Source organism: Homo sapiens, chromosome 9, assembly GCF_000001405.40.
Source record: "Homo sapiens chromosome 9, GRCh38.p14 Primary Assembly".
NCBI classification, from domain to species: Eukaryota; Metazoa; Chordata; class Mammalia; order Primates; family Hominidae; genus Homo; species Homo sapiens.
In genome coordinates this window covers 88,429,121-88,454,962 of record NC_000009.12, presented here as the reverse complement: position 1 = coordinate 88,454,962, position 25,842 = coordinate 88,429,121, and the positions used below count along the sequence as shown (strand labels likewise).

The 25,842-nt window shown below is 41.2% G+C and overlaps 1 protein-coding gene across 1 annotated transcript in view, besides 2 other annotated features; it reads right to left on the bottom strand.

Moving 5' to 3' along the window:
• Positions 1 to 25,842, bottom strand: part of SPIN1 (spindlin 1) — a 90,251-nt gene that overhangs the window by 23,732 nt on the left and 40,677 nt on the right. The window contains exon 3 of the mRNA NM_006717.3: positions 5,974 to 6,022. Coding sequence (NP_006708.2) covers positions 5,974 to 6,022 — 49 coding nt within the window. The remainder of the gene's footprint in view (positions 1 to 5,973; positions 6,023 to 25,842) is intronic.
• Positions 11,032 to 11,733: an enhancer, noted in NCBI's record as "OCT4-NANOG-H3K4me1 hESC enhancer chr9:91058145-91058846 (GRCh37/hg19 assembly coordinates)". NCBI's record gives its function as "activates a minimal SCP1, AML or CMV promoter by ChIP-STARR-seq in primed H9 embryonic stem cells {active_cell/tissue: H9 hESC(primed)}" and the evidence as "EXISTENCE:reporter gene assay evidence [ECO:0000049][PMID:30033119]".
• Positions 24,463 to 24,964: an enhancer, noted in NCBI's record as "NANOG hESC enhancer chr9:91044914-91045415 (GRCh37/hg19 assembly coordinates)". NCBI's record gives its function as "activates a minimal SCP1, AML or CMV promoter by ChIP-STARR-seq in naive H9 embryonic stem cells {active_cell/tissue: H9 hESC(naive)}" and the evidence as "EXISTENCE:reporter gene assay evidence [ECO:0000049][PMID:30033119]".

Here is a 25,842-nt window from a genome sequence, read left to right as displayed (position 1 = left end):
TCTTTAAAGGCAAAGGAAACAACGGTAATTTTCCCCTCAAGGCTGAAGGCAAAAAACGAGTAATTAGAATAATATACTAATTGTTAAAATCATGAGTCCAGCTTTCCAGTTGTGGGGCTTGAATGCACAAGCTGCTCAGCAGCCAAAGTTCACAAGGAAGAGTATTTAAACAAACCTAGACTGTGCTCACTACTAAGAGCACTGAAATATGGAAGCTGTTAATAAATTTCAGTTCTTCCAACTAGTACCTACTTAAGACAGGTTTAGATACACTAAGAATATCTGATGTTTGATGTAGATTATTGAAGCTAGGTGAAGAATGCCAAGATTTATGATACACTACTCTATATTTTTATGTATATTTAAAATTTCCCACAGTAAAAAGTTATTTATATATTGAACAAGTTCCTAAAAGAAATTTTAATTTCTAATCACCTATTTGGAGTTCTAAAAAATAAAATTAAAAAAACACTATTAATAACAAAAGTTAAAGCTTACTTACATAAGTGGAAATAGTGTATATAAAAGCAAACTATTAGGAATTACTAGAAAGGGAATAAAATGATCAAACACCCTTTGGTCATATCTGGATCATTCAGTCTAAGAATATCCCAAATAGAGAAAAGTGATTAGCAACTTAAATGTGATTTAAAATGAAGGTTCTTTGAATATAGTGATTTTTATTTAAATACTATCTTGATATATGTATTGTTAAAAGCCCTTCAATCTCTTATATTTTCTTGGGAAAGAGTCTAAAATATTCTTACTCTCATTTACCAGTTAGTAACATCCCCTCACAGAGCAATACTGTAAAACAAATACCAAGATACTTCATTCAACCTAGGACATCTTGAAATGCAGCCAGAATTAAACATCTATAACCTCTTTTCTTGTTTCGTAACTCCAGAAGCTATTTCTTGAAACAATTCCAGAAAAAAAATAAAATAATCGAAAGGTATTTAGCATCATTAGGGATAAACCGGTATCTGTGTAATGGCTAAAAAAAACTTTTCTTGTAGTTTGAATTTGAGTATATGGTGAACAATTACACAGCACTGCAATGACCTTTCATTGCCATAATTTAGTGTACTGATTTCCAACCCCAATTTAACTTAGTTCTCCGATGTGCTTAAGATACCGCGGGCGCGGTGGCTCCCGCCTGTAATCCCAGCACTTTGAGAGGCCAAGGCGGATGGATCACCTGAGGTCGGGAGTTTGAGACCTGCCTGACCAACATGGAGAAACCCCGTCTCTACCAAAAATACAAAATCAGTCGGGCGTGGTGGCGCATGCCTGTAATCCCAGCTACTCGGAAGGCTGAGGCGGAAGAATCGCTTGAACCCAGGAGGTGGAGGTTGTGGTGAGCCGACTGCACTCCAGTCTGGGCAACAAGAGCAAAACTCCATCTCGGTAAAAAAAAAAAAAGATACCATTCCAACAATGATTTAAGGCCAGTGCTTCTCAAACTTCAGCATGCATGTGAATCCTCTGAAGATCCTCTAATGAGATTCCCCAGACCAGCCCCCAAATCCTCTTGGATTCAGCGGCATGAAGAGGAACAAAAGAATTCCTATAAGCTCCCAAGTGCCAAATTGATGCTGCAGCCAATCCATGAACCATACCTTGGGTGGCACTGATATAGAACAAACACTATGTGTTCCTGTTCCCAAAAAAGTAAACTGAGATTGTAGGAAACATTATGTACTCTTCTCAATACTTCAAAGAAGTTCTGAAAGTACCATCACTTTGTGCTGAAGTCATGTGTTGAAAAACCTTTTTAGGAGTGCAAAAGGCTTATTGGGAAAATAAAAAATTTAAAAAAAAAGGAAAGCAAAGGGAAAGGGAAAGGAAAGGAAAACGACCTTTCATCTTTTTACCTAGACTTCCTTAATGGCTTGAATTAACTCCTATTCCTAACCAGTATTTAAATATCTAATCTTGGTAGCCAACATTTACAGACATCATACATGTTAAATTTTCAACAATCACAATTCTACCACATACCAGTAAATGCCTGTCATACACTGTATACTAGGTTGTAAGGATTAATTACTGATACTCTTGGTCTATTTGGTATTGTAATAAAGCAATTCTCCTACTCTGGGCTACAGTAGATTTTAGAAGAAAAGACTGGTTAAATCAAAATAACTGTCTTTTTGCAAGATGCAAACCAGAAAGAGAGAAAAAAACCTGCTTTGCAGGTAACTGTTATTCAATAAAAGTTCCATGCCAAGTACTGTCACTTCCCAGATTAAAATGTCAACAATAAAACAAGATAGACCCTAAAAAAGTCAGTTCTCCATCCACATTAGCATGTTTCCTTTCACTACTTTGTCTACACACTGCGCACTTTGGGAATACCAGAGATGTCCACGGCAAACATTCAAACAGCTTTAGGGCCTCCAAGTGCTATTCTCATTGCTGGCATGAATGACTTACTGCAAGATGATTAAAAAGCATTCAATGTTCTGACCAACTTAAGACTGTATACACCATGGTGCACATAGATGCCCGCACCAAGAGTTACCCAGTCTTCATGTCCACGACTGAAATAACCAATTTCTGAGAAGAGAAAACAAAACCTGCAGTTCAGTAAATATGGGGTGGTACTTAATAACATGGGCTCTGGAATCAGACTGTCCTATTTGAGTCCTAGCTCAATCACCTACTAGCTGGATGACCTTGGACAAGTTACTTAATCCCTCCATGCATCAGTTTCCTCATCTGCAGTAAGGGGTCACAGTTCCTACTTGACAGGGCTATCATGAAAACTACATGAGAACACACTAGGGACAAGGAGGAGTACAACGACACTTTTGTCAGTGACTAATATTTGTGTCTTATAAAATGGGAGGAAAGAAATCCCTGGAAATACCTCTATTTAGTGTTTAGTAGATTCTAGTCCACTTTCTAAGTTAGTGAAAAATATACCAAAACCCAATCACCCCTTTCAACAGTAGCATGGAATGGAAATCTATTCCCTGTTCAAATTGCAGGAGGGGGGAGGGAATTTACATTTGAAAACTGAAACGAAGAACCACTAGAAATAAATTTGTCTTAGACACTCCCCCAACTATATTTTCCCTCCAAGATGTACTTTTAGGCTGGGCACGGTGGCTCACGCCTATAATCCCAGCACTTTGGGAGGCTGAGGTAGGTGGATCACTTGAAGTCAGGAGTTCGAGACCAGCCTGGCCAACACAGTGAAACCCTGTCTATACTAAAAATACAAAAATTAGCTGGGCGTGCTGCGGCACGCCTGTGGTCTCAGCTACTTAGGAAGCTGAGGCAGGAGAACCAGTTGAACCCAGGAGGTGGAGGTTGCAGTGAACCAAGATTGCACCACTGCACTCCAACCTGAGCAACAGAGCAAGACTCCATATTTCAAAAACAAACAAACAAACAAAAAAACAGACGTACTTTTAATGCAAATGTTTGTCCCAAATCATGGACAGCCCAGAAAGGTGTATCCACCAGTTTCACCCAAAACACCACAAGGTGCTCAGCCTATAGGAAAAAAAAGCTTGCTTCTATTTTCTTAAAAAACACAAACCCAGCTATATAATGTTTCCTGTGTGGTCTCAGTACTTCACACCAGACTCCTTGAACCTTCCTAACACCTTCGGGGACAGGTGCTATTGCTCACTCAGTGCAGTTCTGTGACTTTTCCCTCAAGCAACCAGAGGTTCTTTCTCGGGCACCCCATACTGACTTGGGAAGAGACAGAAGGAGGGCCACCGTCATTGAGCCCCAGTGTCAAGCCAGGTGGCCCTTATTCCTTGCAACTCCCGTTGAGTCAGAAGTGGAAAAAGTGAAGGGGAGAGGGATGCTATAGTTCTGTTTTTTTTTTATATTTGGTTTCCATAAAAATTGCATTTTAGAAAGGAATCTATGCTAAAAAGCTGCAAACCTCATTGTTCTAGTCCAATACCTTGATTTTAGACAGGATTAAGCCAACCTTAGATACATTAAGGAACTTCCACAGGCCTAACAGCCAAGCTCCATCAGGCTTCCTAACTTCAAAACCAGCACCTGGGAGAGCCTGCGTCCCCACCAGGCAGCCTCTTCAAAGCTCCATGCAGCCATCCCTGCTCACTCCATGTGAAAAATATTAATAATCATCATTCGTGAATGTGGAAACTTCTGTTTCAGCCTTTCCTTCTACCCATCTTCAGATTCACATTGAGAATAGGAAAATGGGACTCACAACTTTTCCTTTCCATTTCTCCCTTTTGCTAGATAGTAATATGCTCAAGGCTTCCAGTCTTCAAGACAACTATGTATGCTTGTGAAAGCACTAAATTAAGGTCCCCAAATGTGGAACATATAGGATGAGAGATTTTTTCAGTTACTATGTATACGAACTTTAGGTGTTTCGTTTCTTATGCTTTAGGGAATCAAACCTATGAATTAATGAACAGTATGGCTTATTAGGATGAGGCAGATGGAATCTTATTGCACAAAACGCATTATAATAACATGCCCAAGAGCTCAAACCTATTAATATCTGAAATCCTAAGTAAATGAACTTTTAATCATAGATGATTAGAAAATACGGAAAAATGATTAGAACGCACATTAATATTCTATAAGCCTTTAACTTAACTTGCAAAATCTATTTTGAATGAACTGTTCTGGTCCTGCAAAGTTAAGGTTTAACTTGCCTTTGTCCCCACTGTATTTAAGTTTTTCATCATTACCTAATATTTATGGCTTACATTTGTTTTTATTGTTATGTTTTATTTGTGGCAAGACACAGCTTACCATTTACAGTAATGACATGATAATGAGCAGAAACATATCACTGGGTATGGCAAAACCATGAAGATGATGAGCACATGGATAAAATTTGAGAAACTATTAAACCTCAGAGAAACAAGAACTTATGTAGCTTACCTTCACATTTTTACTTTCCAGGTAGTTTCTTAAGCTAAATATTACAAATATTTGTATTATGTATCACGTACACATTTTGGAGACTTTTGTTTCGCCCAATCACTAACAATTACTGAAGGGCATTCATCCAGCCCTTCCCTGAGAGCCAAGAGGCCTCACATCCTCTTCAGCTATTACAGTGTGGTGGCTAAGGGGCATACACTTTCAATATAAATATTTTGGGGGAAAATGTTTCTTAAGAGTGCCTCACGATGGTCAAGGAGTGTCTTCTCCATATTTAATAATCTATGACTAAGAAGAGTCTCACAATCAGAACAGATTGTTCAAGTGACATTTCCAGTTTGAAGTGGCATAGTTATCAGTATAGGATAGATAGTTGTGAAATCTATTAGATATAATAAAGTAAAAGTGAATATTATAATTGAAAACAATAGAATCTTAATTTCTTTTTTGGATGTAACTATGTCACACACAAAAAAAAATTAGGGAAAAAAGTGGCTTCTGTAAGCTGGTATCTACAGAATTTAGGATTGAGAACACACTGTCAGTTTACGTAGATGGCTATTGCATTATCTTTTAACATGGATATGCTTTCCCTAAATTCATAAGCTTTTCCTTCATTTAAAAATGCTATAAAACAGTGAGCATGTGACACCATGCTAGGCAGGCCCTCCCAGCTTAAGACACGGTCTCTGCCCAAAAGGAGCTCCTTGTCAAACAGTGGACCAAGACCAGGAGAGGAAGCCTGCACGCAAGGCTCACACAGGCATTCCAAGGAGAGAAGAGGGAGAGGTTCACCATGCACCTGCCACACTTACCATAACAGTTTTCCTTCCATTGGCCCAGTTCCCAAAGGCTTTTAAAGGCTGAAGGGTAGACCTGGCACACTGCAGCCAGGCCAAGGGGAAGGGAAGAGACAGAGAAGATGACTACATACTATTCCTCATCGCACACTACATCTCCTATGAGCTAGGAAGCCCTCGATCACAGGGGAGGAGGCCTTACCTAGGTGATCTTGTATGCTGCGTAACAAAAGGTCACAAAACACTATCTAGAACCAGTTTCAGAACTGCTTACTTGTGGGATGTCCTCTTCTTCATCATGTTGGCAGATACTCCAGCATGGCCTGTAAGAGAGATGAGTATATAGTCAATGAAAACCAGATAAAAGAATACCTCAGAATGCAGGAAATCTTAACTTCTGAAAAACTGCTATACAGAATATGAAAAGAAAATACACCACTACCAGCAAACATGTTAAGAAAGCCATTTGTTTACTGAACTTTTAAAAAAGAGATACACACAAGAGATTCTTGAAAGACAAAGCAGCAGAGGCAACAGTTCTCTATCCCCTCAAATCAGCCGTAAAAGCACAAAACCAGAATTGCATGGACAAGAACTACAAGAAAAACTATGTGTCAGCCTGGTGTGGAGGCTCATCCCTGTAATCCCAGCACTCTGGGAGGCTAAGGCAGGAGGGTGGCTGAGGCCAGGAGTTCGAGACCAGCCTGGGTAACATAGCAAGACCTTGTCTCTACAAAAAAAACAACAAGCCAAGTGTAGTGGTATGCACCTGTGGTCTCAGCCACTCAGGAGGCTGAGGTGGGGGGAGTGCTTGAGCCCAGGAAGTCGAGGTTGCAGTGAGCTGTGTTTGTGCCACTGCAGTCCAGTCTGGGTGACAGAGCAAGACCTTGTCTCAAAAAACAAAAAAAACAAAAAAACTTAACTGGGTACAGTGGCTCACGCCTGTAATCCCGATACTTTGGGAGGCCAAGTCGGGTGGATTCCTTGAAGTCAGGAGTTCGAGACCAGCCCGGCCAAGATGGTGAAACCCTGTCTCTCCTAAAAATACAAAAATTAGCCAGGCGTGGTGGCGTATGCCTGTAATCCCAACTACTTGGGAGGCTGAGGTGGGAAGATCGCTTAAACCCAGGAGGTGGAGGTTGCAGTGAGCCAAGACTGCACTACTGCACTCCAGCCTGGGCAACAGAGTGAGACACTGTCTCAAAAAAAAAAAAAAGACCAAAACAAGACTAAGTGACAATCCTAGCCATAAAATCCTAAATGGTACAGAACTGTCTTACTGTCATAAACAACTGAAAAACAGGATGAAATATATGAAACACCTGGTTTCAGATGCTGGCTGATAGGCAGCACAGGTGTGTGGGACCTGGGAGCAGAAAACACACACGAGAACCCTGCATAGGCCCTGACCTCATTCCTGGAAGCAATTTTTGGGCAATGGTGTATGAAGGGGGAACCAAGAACACCACCCTTTTACCATGTTGTGACTCAGTGTAGCGTTGGGAAGGGTGGGCTGGCTGGAATTTGTGGACTACATGTACATGTGGGCAAGAAGGGATCTACTCAGAAGGGAAGCTCAAAAAGTCTGCATTTGGGGGAGGATGTCTTAAGTCTTTGGCTAACACAAATCTGCACATAATTCTGAGAAGTCACAAAGGGACAGCTGTTCAGATTCCATCGCCACCTCTTAACACTTGGAGCAATCAATAAAAATGGCAAAAGATGGCCCTAACTAGGAAATGTGAGGAAGCCTGGAACAAAAGCTCAGCACGTGCTTGCCAAAATAGACTCCAACAGTCTCGAAAGGGCATCAACAAAGTCCCAACACTCAACAACACAAGGTTTCAAATGTTCAACACCAACAAAAATTATTAGACACAAAAAAAAGTAGCAGATTGTAACTCCATAAGCAAGTAGACTATGAATGAAATAAAGTACTTAGCAGGTAAGGACATTGACAACATTAATAAATATGTTAAAATATTTAAAGGAAAATAAAAACACTTAAAATACAAAATGGAAAATATAAAGAAAAATGAAATTAGTGAAAAATACATAATCTGAAATTAAAAATTCACTGAATGTGAGATACAAAGAGCAGTGACCTTGACACACAGCAATACAAACTACTCAAAATAGCACACAAAGAAAAACCTGGAAGAAAACAATGAGCACAACCTCAGTGACCTTTAGGACAATATCAACTGGCCTAACACATAGGAAAGCGGAATCAAAGACAAAGAGCAGAGAGAGGAATGAGGGAAAATATAATGATACAAAGTTGTCCAGATGTGATAAAAAGCATATAACCACAGAGCTAACAAGCTCAACAAAGCCAAAGTAAGATCAAAAACAAAGGAAACCACACCAAGGCACTTCTTCATCAAATTTCTAAAAACCATTGATACAAATAAGTTTTTTTAAATGGCTAAAGAACAGAGGATACATTAAATATAGGAAAACAAAAATAAAACTGGCTCCAAAATTGATGTCAGAAACAACGTAAGCCTGAAGACAGTGGAATAAATCTTTAAGGTGCTAAAAAATAAGCAAGCCGGGCTGGCGCAGTGGCTCACGCCTGTAATCCCAGCACTTTGGGAGACAGAGGAGGGTGGATCACATGAGGTCAGGAGTTCAAGACCAGCCTGGCTAACATGGTGAAACCCTGTTTCTACTAAAAATACAAAAAATTAGCCAGGTGTGGTGGCGCACACCTGTAATCCCAGCTACTCGGGAGGCTGAGGCAGGAGAATCGCTTGAACCCAGGAGGCGGAGGTTGCAGTAAGCCGAGATTGTGTTACTGCACTCCAGCTTGGGCAACAAGAGCAAACCTCCGTCAAAAAAAAAAAAAAAAACAGCAAACCAACTAACCTATGGACTTAAAATACTATATCCAGCAAAAAATACCTTCCACTTGCAACACATTGATAATTAAACTAAATAGAAACAGTCTAATTGTACCAATTAAGACTGTAAAGGGAAAAGCCAAACAAACTAGCTTCAAGACAAACAATATTACCACAAATCAAAGGACAATTCCAAATTCTAAAAGAGTGAATTAATTAAAAAGCTATAATAATCTTAAATGCATATGAACCCAATTACAGAGTAATGAAACACATGAAGCAAAACTGACAGAATTAAAGACAAAGACACATCCATAATTATACTTAATTATACAACTCTCTTTTCTCAGCAGTTGATATAACAAGCAGACAGGAAAATCAGAAAGATACATCATGAATATGCCAATCAAAATAATAGAAAAATTAAAAAAAGAAAATCAAAAGGAATACAGAAGACCCGAACAACCAACCTTACTTAGTTGACATTTAAAGAATACTAAAAGAATGCCAAAATAGTTTTCCAAGTTCACATGGAAATATTCACTCAGATACATATTTCTGAATCATACAGGTCTCAGGCGGAGCATGGTGGCTCACACCTGTAATCCCAGCACTTTGGGAGAGGCCAAGGCTGGTGGATGATTTGAGGTCAGGATTTTAAGACCAGCCTGGCCAACATGGTGAAACATTGTCTCTGCCAAAAATACGGGGGGAAAAAAAAAAGCTGGGCATAGTGGTGGGCGTCTGTAATTCTGGCTAAGGCAAGAGAATCGCTTGAACCCAAGAGGCAGAGGTTGCAGTGAGCCAAGATCACGCCACTGCACTCCAGCCCAGAGCAAGACTCCATCTCAATATAATAATAATAATAATAATAATAATAATAATAATAATAATAATAAAAGTCTCAATACATTTAAGAAAATCTGAAATCAAACAAAAGCTTACTGTACTACCTTGGAGACTAAAACTGGGAGATAGGCCTGACTGCCAAGAACCACTCTACCCACTTCACCCAGCATGTTCATACGCACTGAGACGTGGACAGAGGCTTGATAATGGCTAATGGGTGAAGAATTAAGTATGTGATGGCCTCAAATAGTGAAGACAAGACACAGACAGGAAGCAGGAGCAAGTCTACCTGAAGCATTCCTGGAGCATGTCTGGGCTTAGAGTAGACAAGGATGGAAGGAGGTCAGAAAAGAAAAAAAAGAAAGAAAAGTAAAAAGTCTTTCAAGATCTACTGGAATTGCACCCTTGTCAAGAACCCTTTTCAATCCCCAACTTACACACAACCCCACACTGGATGTACTCAGTGCTGAGTTCCAGGAAAGGGTGCCTCAAATGCCAAACATCCCCCTATGTCCCCAGAGTCAACATTCCCATTTAGAAGAAACAGAATCTTGCTATTTATCACTCAAGAAAAGGGGCTGGGCGCGTGGCTCACGCCTGTAATCCCAGCACTTTGGGAGGCCGAGGCGGGCGGATCACGAGGTCAGGAGATCGAGACCATCCTGGCTAATAACACAGTGAAACCCCGTCTCTACTAAAAATACAAAAAAATTAGCCGGGCGTGCTGGTGGTCACCTGTAGTCCCAGCTACTCGGGAGGCTGAGGCAGGAGAATGGTGTGAACCCGGGAGGTGGAGCTTGCAGTGAGCCAAGATCATGCCACTGCACTCCAGCCTGGGCGACAGAGCAAGACTCCATCTCAAAAAAAAAAAAAAAAAGAAAAGAAAAGGTAAACCATTCATCATCAAAGAATTGAGAAAAATGAAAGTGACCACCATCACTATCCCTGAAATGATCTGAGATCTAAAATGATTATAAAGAATTGGCATCTCCAAGGAAACTGAAGATATTATAAAAACAGAATGGGGGCCGGGCGCGGTGGCTCACGCCTGTGATCCCAGCACTTTGGGAGGCTGAGGCGGGTGGATCACGGGGTCAGGAGATCGAGACTGTCCTGGCTAACAAGGTAAAACCTCGTCTCTACTAGAAAATACAAAAAAAATTAGCCGGGCATAGTGGCAGGTGCCTGTAGTCCCAGCTACTTGGGAGGCTGAGGCAGGAGAATGGCAGGAACCCGGGAGGCGGAGCTTGCAGTGAGCCGCGATCCCGCCACTGCACTCCAGCCTAAGCGACAGAGCGAGACTCTGTCTCAAAAAAAAAAAAAAAAAAAAAATGGGAACAAGAGGCTATGAAAAGGGAAAGCAGCTCCTGAAAATTAAAAAATAAATGAAGAGAATCTGGCACTTAAAAAGCTTCCAAGTTAACTAATTTGTCCATAAAAAGCTAAACAAACTTAAAAAATCAACAACTTCTTAGACTAGTCAGAGAATTGAGGTCACAAGACAAACAACTGTCCCCAAAACTGGAGAGGCAGGCGGAGATAAAGAATCACAACTTACTAGATCAGAAACCTCTACACAGGAACCAGGGCCATGGTAAGAAAACCTAAACTGCAACCGACATTGCTAGTCAGCATGGGCAGGTCTGACAAAAACTCCAGGGGTTGGGGGCTCTCTTAAGAGGACCCCTACAATTTCCTGAATTTTTCCTCTACAAGCCGGGGAAGTTGATCAAGCCATCCTGTCCCACAAGGGGTAGGGGTGGGGAAACTGAGAAGTACAAGCAAAGGTCACAACCCAGGGGTACAAGCCTCATGAAAAGATTGACGGGCAATCATAGGACTACAGACTGCTTCTCCTCCCCGGCATACGTTACCACTACCTTGCTAAAGACCTATTACCACAGCTCCTGTTACCCAGACATCATCTGCGCCTTTCAACAAGAAATCACAGGCTTTGAAATGCAAAAAGCAGTATTAACAGAGAAAACAAGCATCAGAACCAGACTCAACTAGGCAGGGAATTACCAACTACATCTGTTAATTTCACCCAGACCAGGAATTTAAATGAACTATGATTAATATGCTAAATCTCTAAAGAGTAATACAGACAACATGAAAGAATAGATGGACAATATATACAGAGATGGAACTTCTAACAATCAAAAAAAGCTACAGATAAACACTTTAACAGAAGCAAAGAGTGCCTTTCAGAGACAGGCTTATTAGTAGACTGGACAGGACTAACCAAAGAACCTCTGAGTTTAATGGCATGTTAATAAAACTTCCAAAACTGAAAAGCAGAGAGAAAAACCCCGGAATACCCAAGAACTATGGGACAAGTACAAAAGGCATAACTTACACATTATGGAAATGCAAGTAGGTAAAGGAAGAAAGGAATAGAATCAATGTAAAGCAAAGACTGAGTTTTTTTTTGTTTTTTTTTTTTTTTGAGATGGAGTCTCGTTCTGTCACCCAGGCTGGAGGGCAGTGGTGCCATCTTGGCTCACTGCAACCTCTGCCTCCCAGGTTCAAGCGATTCGCCTGCCTCAGCCTCCCAAGTAGCTGGGACTACAGGCGTGTGCCACCACGCCCAGCTAATTCTTGTATTTTTAGTAGAGACAGGGTTTCACCATGTTGGTCAGGCTGGTCTTGAACTCCTGACCTCGTGATTTGCCCGCCTCAGCCTCCCAAAGTGCTGGGATTACAGGCGTGCGCCACCATACCCAGCTAAGACTGAGATTTCCCAGAAATTAATGCCAGACACCAAACCACAAATCCAGGAAGCTCAGAGAATGCCAAGCCAAATAAATGCCAGAAAAAAACTACACCAAAGAGTATCATATTCAAACTGTAGAAAATCAAAGGTAAAGAAAAAAAAAATCTTCACCAGGCATGGTGGCTCACACCTGTAATCCCAGCACTTTGGGAGGCCGAGGTGGGTGGATCACTTGAGGTCAGGAGTTTGAGACCAACCTGGCCAACAAGGTGAAACCCCATCTCTACTAAAAATACAAAAATTAACCAGTAATCCCAGCTACTCGGGAGGCTGAGGCAGGAGAAATGCTTGAACCAGGGAGGCAGAGGTTGCAGTGAGCTGAAATCAGGCCACTGCATTCCAGCCAGGTGACAGAGCAAGACTGTCTTCAAAAAAAAAAAAGGAAAGAAAAAGAAAAACATCTTGAAAGAAACCACCTTACCACAGAGGAATAAAGAATTACATGAGCTTTCTCCTCAGAAACCATGCAAAAAAGGAAGATAGTAGAGGGAACTATTTAAAGTGTTGAGAGGAAAAAAAACTACTAACTTACAGTTTTATATCCTGCAGAATTACTTCAAAGGGAAGGAGAAATAAAAGCCTTTCTCACACAAACAAAAAGTGATGAAATTTGTCACCAACAGACCTGCCTTGTAAGAAATGTTAAAAAGAAAATCTTTAGAAAGAAGGAAAATTCAGCTGGGTGCGGTGGCAAGCGCCTGTAATCCTAGCTACTTGGGAGGCTGAGGCAGGAGAACTGCTTGAACCCAGGAGGCACAGGTTGCAGTGAGCCGACATCACATCACTGCACTCCAGGCTGGGTGACAGAGCAAAACTCCATCTCAAAAAAAAAAAAAAAAGGAAAATATAGGTCAGAAGCTGAGATCTATATAAAGGAAAAACATTAAAGAAGAAATAAGTGAAAATAATATAACAACATATAATATACAATTATAATAAATATGTAACATATTTTTATTTTATATTATTTTATATTTTATAATACAAAAATATAATAAAAATATAATATAAAAACTTTTATTTATTTATTTATTTTTTAGACAGGGTCTCACTCTGTGGCCCAGGCTGGACTGCGGTGGTGCGATTATGGCTCACTGCAACCTCAACGTCCCAAGACTCAAGCGGTCCTCCCGCCTCAACCTCTGAAGTAGCTGGGACTACAGGAATGCACCATCATGCCTAGCCATTTTTATTTTTCATAGAGATGGGGTCTCACTACATTGCCCAGACTGGTCTCGAACTCCTGGGCTCAAGTGATCCTCCCACTTAGGCCTACCAAAATGCTGGGATGATAGGCATGAGCCACAGCATACTGGCCTGGCCTTTTTTCTTAATTGAGCAACAATGTATGTACACACACATGGGCGCGCGCGCGCGCACACACACACACACACGAATGGCAGCAATGATGATACAACCAGACTGGAGAGAGAATCAGGAATACAGCCGTCCCTCCATATCTACGGGGGACTGGTTCCAGGACCCCCTTCAACACCAAACTCCATGGATGCCCAAGTCCCTTATATAAAATGGTGTAGTATTTGCATCTAACCTAGGCACATCCCGTCCCATATACTTTAAATCATCTCCAGATTACTAATAATGCCAAATACAAAAGTTATGTAAATCATTGTTATAATGCATCATTTAGAAAAAAATGACAATAATGTACATGTTTATAGTATAGGCACAATGATGTTTTTCTGGATATTTTCAATCTGTGTTTGGATGAATCCACAGATGTAAAACCCACGGATACAGAGGGCCAACTAAATTTTATTGTCATAAAGTACGTGGCACTACCCCTAAAGCAATATATTATTATTTCGAAGTAGGCTTGGGGAGGGGGCGTTTTTTGTTTTTTGTAAGAAAACACAAAGGGGAGGGGAAGGGAGGGAAAAGGGAAGAAAGAAAGAGGCCAGGCGCGGTGTCATGCCTGTAATCCCAGCACTTTGGGAGGCCAAGGCAGGTGGATCACCTGAGGTTGAGAGTTCAAGACCAGCCTGGCCAACATGGTGAAACCCCATCTCTACAAAAATACAAGAAATAGCTTGGCGTGGTGGCGTGCATCGTGTAGTCCCAGCTACTGGGGAGGCTGAGGTGGGAGAACTGCTTGAACACGGGTGGCGGAGGTTGCAGTACGCTGAGACCACACCACTGCACTCCAGCCTGGGCAACAGAGCGAGACTCCATCTCAGAGAAAAAAAAAAGGGTAGAAAGGAAGCGAGAGAGAGACAGAGACAGAGAAAGAAAAGAAAGAAAGTAGACTTGGATTACTTGTAAATATATATCGCAAACTACAGGGCAATCACTAAAAAAGTTTAAAAACTTAACTGGCTGGGCACGGGGCTCACGCCCGTAATCCCAGCACTTTGGGAGACTAAGGTGGACGGATCGCTTGAGCTCAGGAGTCCGAGACCAGCCTTTGTAACATGGTGAAACTCTGTCTCTATTTTTAAAAATTAAAAAAAAAATTAAAAACAAAAAATATCCTTGATATGCTAAGGAAGGGAAAAAGGTGGAATCATATAAAATGCTCAATTAAAACCAGAGAAGGCAGAAAAGAGTGGAAAGCCCGAGACCAGCCTTTGTAACATGGTGAAACTCTGTCTCTATTTTTAAAAATTAAAAAAAAAATTAAAAACAAAAAATATCCTTGATATGCTAAGGAAGGGAAAAAGGTGGAATCATATAAAATGCTCAATTAAAACCAGAGAAGGCAGAAAAGAGTGGAAAGCAAAAACTGGAAAAAAGAACAAGGGCAAAGAACAGATAATAGTAACATAAATATGACACGGTATTACTCCACCTACATAATCATTTTCTGTGTCACTGATCTAAATATACCAATTAAGACAGACTCAGAGTGGATCAAAAACAACATGCAACTTCATGCTAGATACAAGAAATCCACTTTAACTATAAAGATACACAGATTTAAAGTAAATGGATGAAGAAAAGATACAGCTTGCTACCAATAATCAAAAGAAAGTGGGAAGCTATATGAATTTTAGAAAAAGCAGAGTTTGGAGGAAGAAAAGTTATCAAAGATAAAGGGGGGCATTACATAAAATAAAGGTGTCAACTCTCCAAGAAAACAAAACAATCCTTAATGTGTATGTGCCTAAAAATGGAGCATCAAAATATGTGAGGAAAAAAAGCTGATGGAACTATAGGAAGAGACAGATTAACTCCACTGAAGGTCGAGTATCTGTTATTCAAAATGCTTGGGACCAGAAGTCTTTCACATTTCAGAATATCTGCGTATAAAATGAGGTATCTTGGGAATGGGACCCAAGTTTAAACACAAAATTTATTTATGTTTCATATAAACCTTCTATATACCCCCTGAAAGTAATTTTATGTAATATTTTAAATAATTTTGTGCATGAAACAAAGTTTATACTCATTGAAGTATCAGAAAGCAAAGGTGTCACTAGCTCAACCCATGTGGACAATCTGTGTTTGTTATCATCATCATTCCTGACACTGAATTTATATGCTACCAACAGCAACCATTCTCTTACACGAATTCACACATAAGTTCTTAACAGTAAAAAATATAGCATACCATTAATACACTGAAAAAATAATGTGTTCAGGATATCTAAGCAGCACAGTAGCAGCGCCAGAATATCTATATCAGCTATTAACAGCAACAACAAACAACAGCTTGCCTTTACTCTCCACCTACAATTCTGTGTTTTGTGTGTTTTATTTTTTTAGGTGAGAAAAAAATATCAGAAGCAGTTGAGGGGCCAGGAAGTGGGTCCTTAGGAATGAGCAAGCATTCTACTGGATGGTTTTTTAAAGTGTTTCCTCTAGTCAACCGCCTCATGAACAAGTTTTTGTCTTAAAAGTCTCTCTTCGATCATATAAATTGACATGGTTTCTTGTTGTGTTACAAATGCACCCTGCTCTAGTCCTCCAATAAGCCCATCACACATTTTCCCCATGTCATCAACAGGCACTTTTTCTTTAGTATTAATGTCATCTTCATCACCCAATTGTGGAATCACGTGAGTTACTCAAAAAGTTTCAGATGTTGAAGTATTTTGGATATTAGGTTTTTGGATTAGGGATGCTCAACCTATATTATGGTTATGGATTTCAACATCCTTCTATCAATAATGGACAGATCCAGAAGGCATAAAATCAGTAAGGATATAGATGAACTCAACAAGCACCATCAAATCTAGTTGACTATAGATCAAATCTAATCTATATATTTGATCTATAGTCAAATCTAAAGACTACTTTGCCCAACAGGAGCAGAATACAAACTTTTCTCAAGTTCACACGGAAAATACACCAAAACAGACGACATTATGAACTGTAAAACAGTTTCACAAATTTAAAAGAATACAAATCATACAGTGTATGCTGTCATACAACAACGTAATTAAACTAGAAATCAGTAACAGAGAGATGGCTGAAAAATCTCAAAATACATGGAGATTGAACAACATACTTCTAAGCACATGGGTCAAAGAAGAAACTGCAAGAGAAATTTAAATATATTTTGAACTAAGTGAAAATGAAAACATAACTTACCAACACTGAGCAAAAGCAGTGCTTACAGAGAAATTTACAGCAATTAATGAATTAATTTATAGCAATTAAAAATCTTTTTTTTTTTTTTGAGACAGGGTCTTGCTCTGTGGCCCAGGCTGGAGTGCAGCAGCATGATCTCGATGCACTGCAAATTCTGCCTCCCAGATTCAAGTGATTCTCCTTCCTCAGCCTCCCAAGTAGCTGGGATTACAGGCGCGCATCACCACGCCAGCTAATCTTTCTATTTTTAGTAGAGACAAAGTTTCACCATGTTGGCCAGGCTGGTCTTGAACTCCTGGCCTCTGCCCCCCTCAGCCTCCCAAAGTGCTGGGATTGCAGGCTTGAGCCACCACGCCCAGATAAAGAAAGATCTAAAGTCAATAATCTAAGCTTCTGTCTTAGGAAACTAGAAAAAGAAGAGAATATTAAATCCAAGATGAGGAGAGGAAAATAAACTTTTAAAAATTAGAGCAGAAATCACTACAATTGAAAATCAAAATCAATAGAGAAAAATCAATGAAACCAAAAGCTAGTTGCTTGTGGAAATGCAAAACGGTAGAGCCGCTTTGGAAGACAGTTTGGCAATTTCTTGCAAAGTAAACATACGTTTAACCATAAACCAGGAGTTGTGCTCAATATTTATCCAAGAGTTGAAAATATCCCTGCACAAAAATCTGCACACAGATATATATAGCAGCTTCATTCATTTTGTTGTTTCTTTCCTTCTTTTTTTTTTTTCTTGAGACAGGGTCTTACTCTGTTGCCCAGGCTGGAGTGTGGTAGCATGGTCAGTGCTCACTGAAGCTTCTCCCTCCTTGGCTCAAGCCATCCTCCCGCCTCAACCTCCCGAGTGGCTAGGACCACAGGTGTGAGCCACCACGCTCCACTACTTTTTGTATTTTTTGTAGAGATAGGGTTTTGCCATGTTGCCCAGGCTGATCTAGAATTCTCAGGCTCAAGAGATCGGCCTACCTTGACCTCCCAAAATACTGGGATTACAGGTGTGAGCCACCACCCCCGGCCTATAGCAGCTTTATTCAAAACTGCCAAAATTTGGAAGCAACCAAGATGTTTCTTCAATAGGTGAATGGATAAATAAACTTGTGCATCCAAACAGTAGATTATTTGGTGATAAAAAGAAATGAACTATCAAGCCATAAAAAGACACAGAGGAGGCCGGGCGCGGTGGCTCACGCCTGTAATCCCAGCACTTTGGGAGGCCGAGGCGGGCGGATCACGAGGTCAGGAGATCGAGACCATCCCGGCTAAAACGGTGAAACCCCGTCTCTACTAAAAATACAAAAAAAATAGCCGGGCGTAGTGGCGGGCGCCTGTAGTCCCAGCTACTTGGGAGGCTGAGGCAGGAGAATGGCGTGAACCCGGGAGGCGGAGCTTGCAGTGAGCCGAGATCCCGCCACTGCACTCCAGCCTGGGCGACAGAGCGAGACTCCGTCTCAAAAAAAAAAAAAAAAAAAAAAAAAAAAGACACAGAGGAAATTTATGTGCATATTAATTACTAAGTGAACGAATCCAATCTGAAAAGACTCCACGCTGTATGATTCCGACTTTATGACGTTATTCTGGAAAAGACAAAACTAGGGAGACAATAAAAAATCAGCACTTGCCAGGGGTTAAGGGTGAGAGAGAGAAGAACAATGGGAAAACAAGGGATTTTCAGGGTAGTGAAACATCAAGAATGAACCTTAATGTAAACTATGGACTTTGGGTGATAATGACATGTCAAAGAAGGTTCATCAACTTCCAGCAAATGTACCACACTGTGAGATGCTGGGACAGGAATGGGGCAGGGTGTGCTGCACATTTGTGAGGGAAAGGAATATATGGGAACTCTGTTATTTTCCACTCCATTTTCCTGAGTACCTAAAACTGCTCTAAAAAAATAGAGCCCGTTATCTCTTTGCAACTCTAAAACTGTAGAAAGATTGTAAAGTTTAAAAACTGTTAGTCTAAAATTATTCTTCTGTCATCAACACTGAGCTAGAAAGTCAGGCGCTGTGGAGCACACCTGTAGTCCCAGCTACTCGGGTGGCTGAGGCAGGAGGATCACTTGAACCAAGGAACTGAAGTCCAGCCTGGGCAACACAGTTAGACCCCACCTCTTTAAAACAAACAAAACTGGGCTAGAAAACAGTAAGACAAGAGAGTAATATTGTCAATATTGAAGCAAAATGATTTTGAACTCTGAACTTCGTACCTGGGTAAATTATTAACTGACAGTATATACATTTCCACACATATATGGGCTAAAATTTATATTTCATACACATCTTCTTTGGAAGTTACTGAAGGATACCCTTCAGGAAATAAGAAAAGCAACATAAACACATAGGATCTGAGAAACCATAGATATAACCTAGAAGAGCAGAAGGTTCCAAAGCAAGACTTATGTGATATAGGCTGACAGACCCATACAGGTGGGAGTGAGAGACCAGGGACTCAAGAAAGGCTGTTTCCAAGAAACTGACTCCACACAACAGAAGTGTAAGAAGGTAAATGACCCCTATCACAGATTAAAGGTTAATAACTCTGATGTAAAAAAACCTTATGCAAGTAATAAAGAAAAATAGATGTAATATCAGAAAAAGGAAGGCCAAGTAGGCCCTTACAAGCCAAGATCACAAATAAAACTGCACAGAAACACCATTTCTCACCCACAAGACAGACAAAACCACATATTTGACAACATATGTCACTGGCAAGACTGTGAGAAGAGAGAAACTCTTTACATATTTTATTGCTGGTAAGAATGCAAAATGGGGCTGGCACCATGGCCCACAAGGCTCAGGAGTTCAAGAACAGCCTGGTCAACATGGTAAAACCCTAAAAAATTCAAAAATTAGCCGGGTGTGGTGGTGCATGCCTGTAGTCCCAGCGACTTAGAGGCTGAGGTAGGAGATTCGCTTGAGTCCAGGAGGTCGAGGCTGCAGTGAACCATGATCGTGCCACTGCTCTCCAGCCTGGGTGACGGAGTGAGATCCCATCTCCAAAAAAGAAAAAAGAAAAAAAAAAAGAATGCAAAATAATACAGAGTCGATGGAGGGCAATCTGGTGAGATCTCACAAAATCATACATGAATTGAAGATCTGACTCAATTCTATTTCCAGAAATTTATCCAATGACACAACAGCAAGACATACTGACAAAGATAAGCTTTTTTTTTTTTTTTGAGCTGGAGTCTCACACTTTCAGCCAGGCTGGGGTGCAGTGGTGCGATCTTGGCTCACTGCAACCTCCGCCTCCCGGGTTCAGATAATTCTCCCGCCTCAGCCTCCCAAGTAGTGGGGATTACAGGCACCCACCACCATGCCCAGCTAATTTTTGCATTTTCAGTAGATGTGAGGTTTCGCTATGTTGGCCAGGCTGGTCTCAAACTCCTCAAGTGACCCACCCGCTTCGGCCTCCCAGAGTGTTGGGATTACAGGCATGAGCAACCGCGCGCAGCTCATTGTAGCTATTATCTGTAAGAGCAGAAGAGTAGAAACAACTCACACGTCCAGTAATAATGGATACCAAATGAATATGGTACAGCCACACAATGGAGTACTATTCATCTGTAAAAAAACAATGAGGAAGAGCTCTACATACTGCTAGAGCTCTACATACTGCTTAACCCACATTGTTAAGCAGAAAAAGAAAAGTTAATGGGTACACATTAACTGGATACTGTTATCAGTTTGTCACCAAATGGGGAGTTATATCACCCATCACTGACTTTCCAGTGGAAAACAGAAGTTTCTTTAATATATAGCTTTATTATATCTATTTGTTGAAGAAAACCGTAATTTATAAAATAAACTAATTTATAAAATGAATTTATAAAATAAACTATTTTATAATTTATAAAATAAACTATTTTATAATTTATAAAATAAACTATTTTATAATTTGTAAAATAATTTTATAAATTATAAAATAAACTATTCTATTTGACTCTAAAACAGTTAAACTATACTAAACCATAATATGCAAGAGAAACAAAATACAACCAAAACTGTCTCACAGAGGCTTACTCAGGCACATGTTCCAAAGTAAGACCAACTATTTTAAGTGAACTTTGTGTAGACTCAGATGCTCCAATGATAAAGACCAATGTCTGATCCAGCAGCTCATTTGGATTAGAAATTCTAAACCAATCCTCATCTACATCATACTTCCTGACTTCCAACCCTATGACTCACTCCTCCCCTTGAGTTCTCACTTAACTATCGATAGGTTCTTGGAAACTGAGACTTTACACAGCGTAAAGGAGGTCCTCAAACGCTGTCAGTTCAATGTTCAAAGTTGTTTCCTTATAACGTTGATGAGAAAAAAAAAAACAAAAAACTGGTTTTGTTTTCCTTGAAGTCACAGTTTCCAAGAACTTATGGATGACATTAAGTGAGGACTTACCGTATCTTTCTTTCTTTGAAAATTTCACTGAGAGTCCACCAAGGTGATACTCTCCTTGTTGCTCTGCAGATTTTATAAGCTCAGCTTGGTATGACAGACAGTCTTGTCTGGGGATGCAGCAGGTAAGGAAATATGACTATGTAAACTTAAAAGAGAAATAAGAAAATATGAGAGATGAGTGATCATCATCTATGGAGGACACCTGACAATCCATCTCCAAAGAAAACATTTCACAGACTCCCCAATAAGGCAGGAGAAGTCCAGGCAACAAGAGCCATTTCCTCACAGACAGCTTGCCATCATCTTGATGTCTTCCTAGAGGATCATGCTAGGATCAAGAGACTCAAGGAAAGCCTCCAAATGAAACAGAGACTAATAGCAGAGACACAAAGAAACTCGTCAGCAACAAGGCTAACACTAGAAAGGCTATTTAAAAAGCAATTTATAAGCAGGTACACTGGTGCATGACTGTAGTCCCAGCACTTAGGGAGACCAAGGCCAGTGGATCACTTGAGCTCATGAGTTCAAGACCAGCCTGGGCAACATGGCGAAACCCCATCTCTACAAAAAAATACAAAAATTAGCAGGGCGTGGTGGCACTCACGCCTGTAGTCCCAGCTACTCAGGAGGCTGAGGTGGGAGGATCTCTTGAGCCTGGGAGTTTGAGGCTGCAGTGAGCCAAGATCATGCTACTGTGCTCCAGACTGGGTGACACGGCGAGACCCTATCTCAAAACAAACAAAAAGTAATTTATATCCCCAGAAACATAAGCTACTTGTATCTATGAAATAAACAAGTATGAGAATAAAAAAGCTGGATGCAGTGGTACATGTGCCTGTATTCCCAGCTACCTGAAAGGCTGAGGTGGGAGGATCTCTTGAGCCCAATAGTTTGAAACCAGCCTGTGTAAAAGAAAATGGGGGAGGAAGAGGGAAGGCACTTAGAAATTAAGTTGCTGACTGAAATTAAAAAAAACAAAAAACAAAACAGAAAACGTGGGAAAATATAAAGTAAATAAGCTCCCCCAGAGAATGGGAAAATGGGCCAGGCGCAGTGGCTCATGCCTGCAATCCCAACACTTTGGAAGGTCAAGGCAGGCAGATCACAAGATCAGGAGTTCGAGACCAGCCTGGCCAACATGGTGAAACCCCATCTCTACTGAAAGAAAAAAGAAAAAATTAGCTGGGCATGGTGGCATGCGCCTGTAATCCCAGTTACTCCAGAGGCTGAGGCAGGAGAACAGCTTAACAGGGGAAGCAGAGGTTACAGTGAGCCGAGATCGCGCCACTGCACTCCAGCCTGGGTGACAGAGCAAGACTCTGTCTCAAAGAAAAAAAAAAAAAGGAGCCAGGGTGGCTCACACCTGTAATCCCAGCACTTTGGGAGGCAGAAGTGGATGGATCACCTGAGGTCAGGAGTTCGAGACCAGCCTGGGCAACATGGTGAAACCCTGTCTCTACTAAAAATACAAAAATTAGCCAGGGCAGTAGCGCATGCCTGTAATTCCACTACTTGGGAGGCTGAGACAGGACAATTGCTTGAGCCCGGGAGGTGGAGGTTGCAGTGAGCTGAGATCATGCCATTGCACTTAGCCTGGGCAACAGAGCAAGACTCTGTCTCAAAAAAAAAAAACTGGGGGTGGGGGGGGCGGGACGGGCACAGGGGAGGGTGATGGAGATCAATCTAAGAGGCCAAACATCCAAGTAGCATGCATTTCAGAGAGAAGAAGAAAAACAGGAGACAGTTAAAGAAGAAACATAATATTCCACACTGTTACAGAATAAATCTATTTTTTTTTCTGGACAGTCTGTCACCCAGGCAGGAATGCAGTGACACAATCACAGCTCACAGCAGCAACACCTGAGCTCAAAGTGATCCTCCCACCTCAGGTTCCTGAGTAGCTAAAACTACAGGTACACACCATCACACCCAGCTAATTTTTTGTAGAGAAGGGGTCTCACCATGTTGCCCAGGCAGTCTCACACTCCTGGCCTCAAATGATCCTCCTACCTCAGCTTCCCAAAGCGCTGGGATTATAGTTTATGAGCCACTGTACCTGACCTAAAGGATTAATCTGAAGATTGAAAGCCTAGAACAATAAATGAAAAAGATATACACTAACAGGCATTATCATAAAAGTTTCAGAAGACATAAAAAGCCAATTCTAAAAGTTTCCAAAGAATGGGGAATAAAACCCACTGGACACACACAAAGAATGAGAAATAAAAATGCCATTCAAAGCTGGGCACAGTGGCCTACTTCTGTAATCCCAGCACTCTGGGAGGCCGAGGCGGGTGGATCACCTGAGGTCGGGAGTTCAAGACCAGCCTGACCAACATGGAGAAACCCCGTCTCTACTAAAAATACAAAATTGGCCGGGCGTGGTGGCGGATGCCTGTAATCCCAGCTACTAGGGAGACTAAGGCAGGAGAATCACTTGAACCCAGGAGGCGGAGGTTGCAATGAGCCGAGATCATGCCACTGCATTCCAGCCCAGGCCGACAGAGCTCTTGAGACTCCATCTCAAAAAAAAAAAAAGAGAGAGAGAGAGAGAAATATTTGTTAAATTTGAGTAGTAGGTACATGAGCATCTATGACTAACATTCCTTGTACCATCAATATGATTAAAATATATCATAAAAAGGGCCGGGCATGGTGGCTCACGCCTATAATCCCAGCACTCTGGGAGGCCGAGGCGGGCAGATCACCTGAGGTCAGGAGTTCAAGATCAGCCTGACCAACATGGAAAAACCCCGTCTCTACTAAAAATGCAAAAAAGTTAGCCGAGTGTGGTGGTGCATGCCTGTAATCCCAGCCACTTGGGAGGCTGAGGCAGCAGAATCACTTGAACCTGGGAGGCAGAGGTTGCAGTAAGCCAAGATCGTGCCATTGCACTCCAGCCTGGGCAACAAGAGCAAAACTCCATCTCAAAAAAAAAAAAAAAAGAAAAAATATATCATAAAAGGAAAATACTGCAACCTTTGCTAAAATACTAAAAATGGAGGCTAACACCAGGGGAAAACGTGAAAAAAAATTTTACCATATACCCTAATAGTACTTGTTACCCAATGTCATTAGGCATAAACTGCTACTTAGCAACCAGTTAAATTTCAACATAATCACAGATAAACGTAAGTTATTTTCAAAACAGAAATTCCTGATATGTGAATGAGATAAAGAAAATATAAAATTATTACTTTCAAATATTTCCTCAATCATTCACCCTCTATGTTAAAGACAGGTACTGGGGGTCATGGCAGATGTTGGAAGTTGCCTACCCAATCTATTTACCACTGTAGCAGTTTTAAAACATAGCCACAAATTCTTTGCTACTTCTCCCATCAAGTATAGTGTCTATGCTCCCTCCCTGGAAACTTGGTGAGCCTCTGTGACTGCCTCAATGAATAGAATGCAGTAGAAGTGAACCTGTATAAGTTCCAAGGCTAGATAAAGGCCACACAGCTGTGACAGTTTCTCTTAGGGATACTATCTGGAAGCCTCCATGTAAAGGTCCCCATAAGAAAAGAGATGCCCAGGAGGCCGGGTGGCTAAAGCTCCAGGCTATTTAAGTCCTATCAGCCCATGTGAGTGAAGAAGCCTTTGAGATGACACCTGCCTGAGGGCATAGCTGAACTACCTAACCAACTCTGAAATGCCTACCTGGGCTTCTTGCTGCCTGAGACAAAACCCTTTTTTGGTGATTTTTCTTTCATTTGCAAATAGACACATTGGTTACTGATACAGGGACTTAGAAGCAGCAGAGCATTTGTCTATGCTAACAGGAAGAATGATTAAGACTCTATTTTATAAACAATACTGATCCTGGGGTCAGCAATCTTTCCAAAATAGGCTATACTTCTGTAATACTGTGAAATATATATATTTGGCCTTCCTCCTCCTCTTGACTTACAGCTTCCAATACCCTTGGAAACTCTGGAGTGGTAAGTGTCTTCTGTATGCTAATGGGATAACCAGAGACAGCTTCAGGATGGGGACTGGTCTCTAGTAGGACCAAGGCATGACTAAAGGATCAGGACTTTCAACCACCCACTGTTACGGGACAGGGGCTGAAGGTTGAGCTGATCATCAATGGCCACTGATGTAATCAATCATGCCTACACAATGAAGCTTCCATAAAAACCACAAAAGACAGAGTTTAGAAGAGCTTCCAGATAGCGCAACACTATCTGAAGGTTCCTGGAGGGGGGTAGATGCACCAATGCCCCTTCCTGCATGCCTTGCCCTATGCATCTCTCCTTCTTCCATCTGGCTGTTCATCTGTATCCTTTGTAATACCCTTTATAATAAACTGGTAAAAGTTAAGTGTTTCACTGAGTTTTGTGAGTTGCTCTAGCAAACTAATTGAGCCCAGGGACAGGGCTGTGGAAACTCCAATTTATGGCTGTTCAGACCAGAAGTTCCAGAGGCCCAGATATGCATCTGAACTGGCATCAGAAGCAAGCAGCGGTCTTATGGGACTGAGCCCTCAACCTATGAGATTTGATGCTGTCTCTAGGTGGACAGTATCAGAATTGGACTGAAGTGAAATGATGTCTGCTGCAGAACTGCTTGATTGCTGGTGGGAAGCAACTCCTCCCCTTCCCACATTTGGGTGACCAGAGGTGCTGTGTTGTATTGAATTACATAAGAGAATAGGTGGAGGCCAGGCACACTGGCTCATTAAGTGTAATCCCAACACTATGGGAGG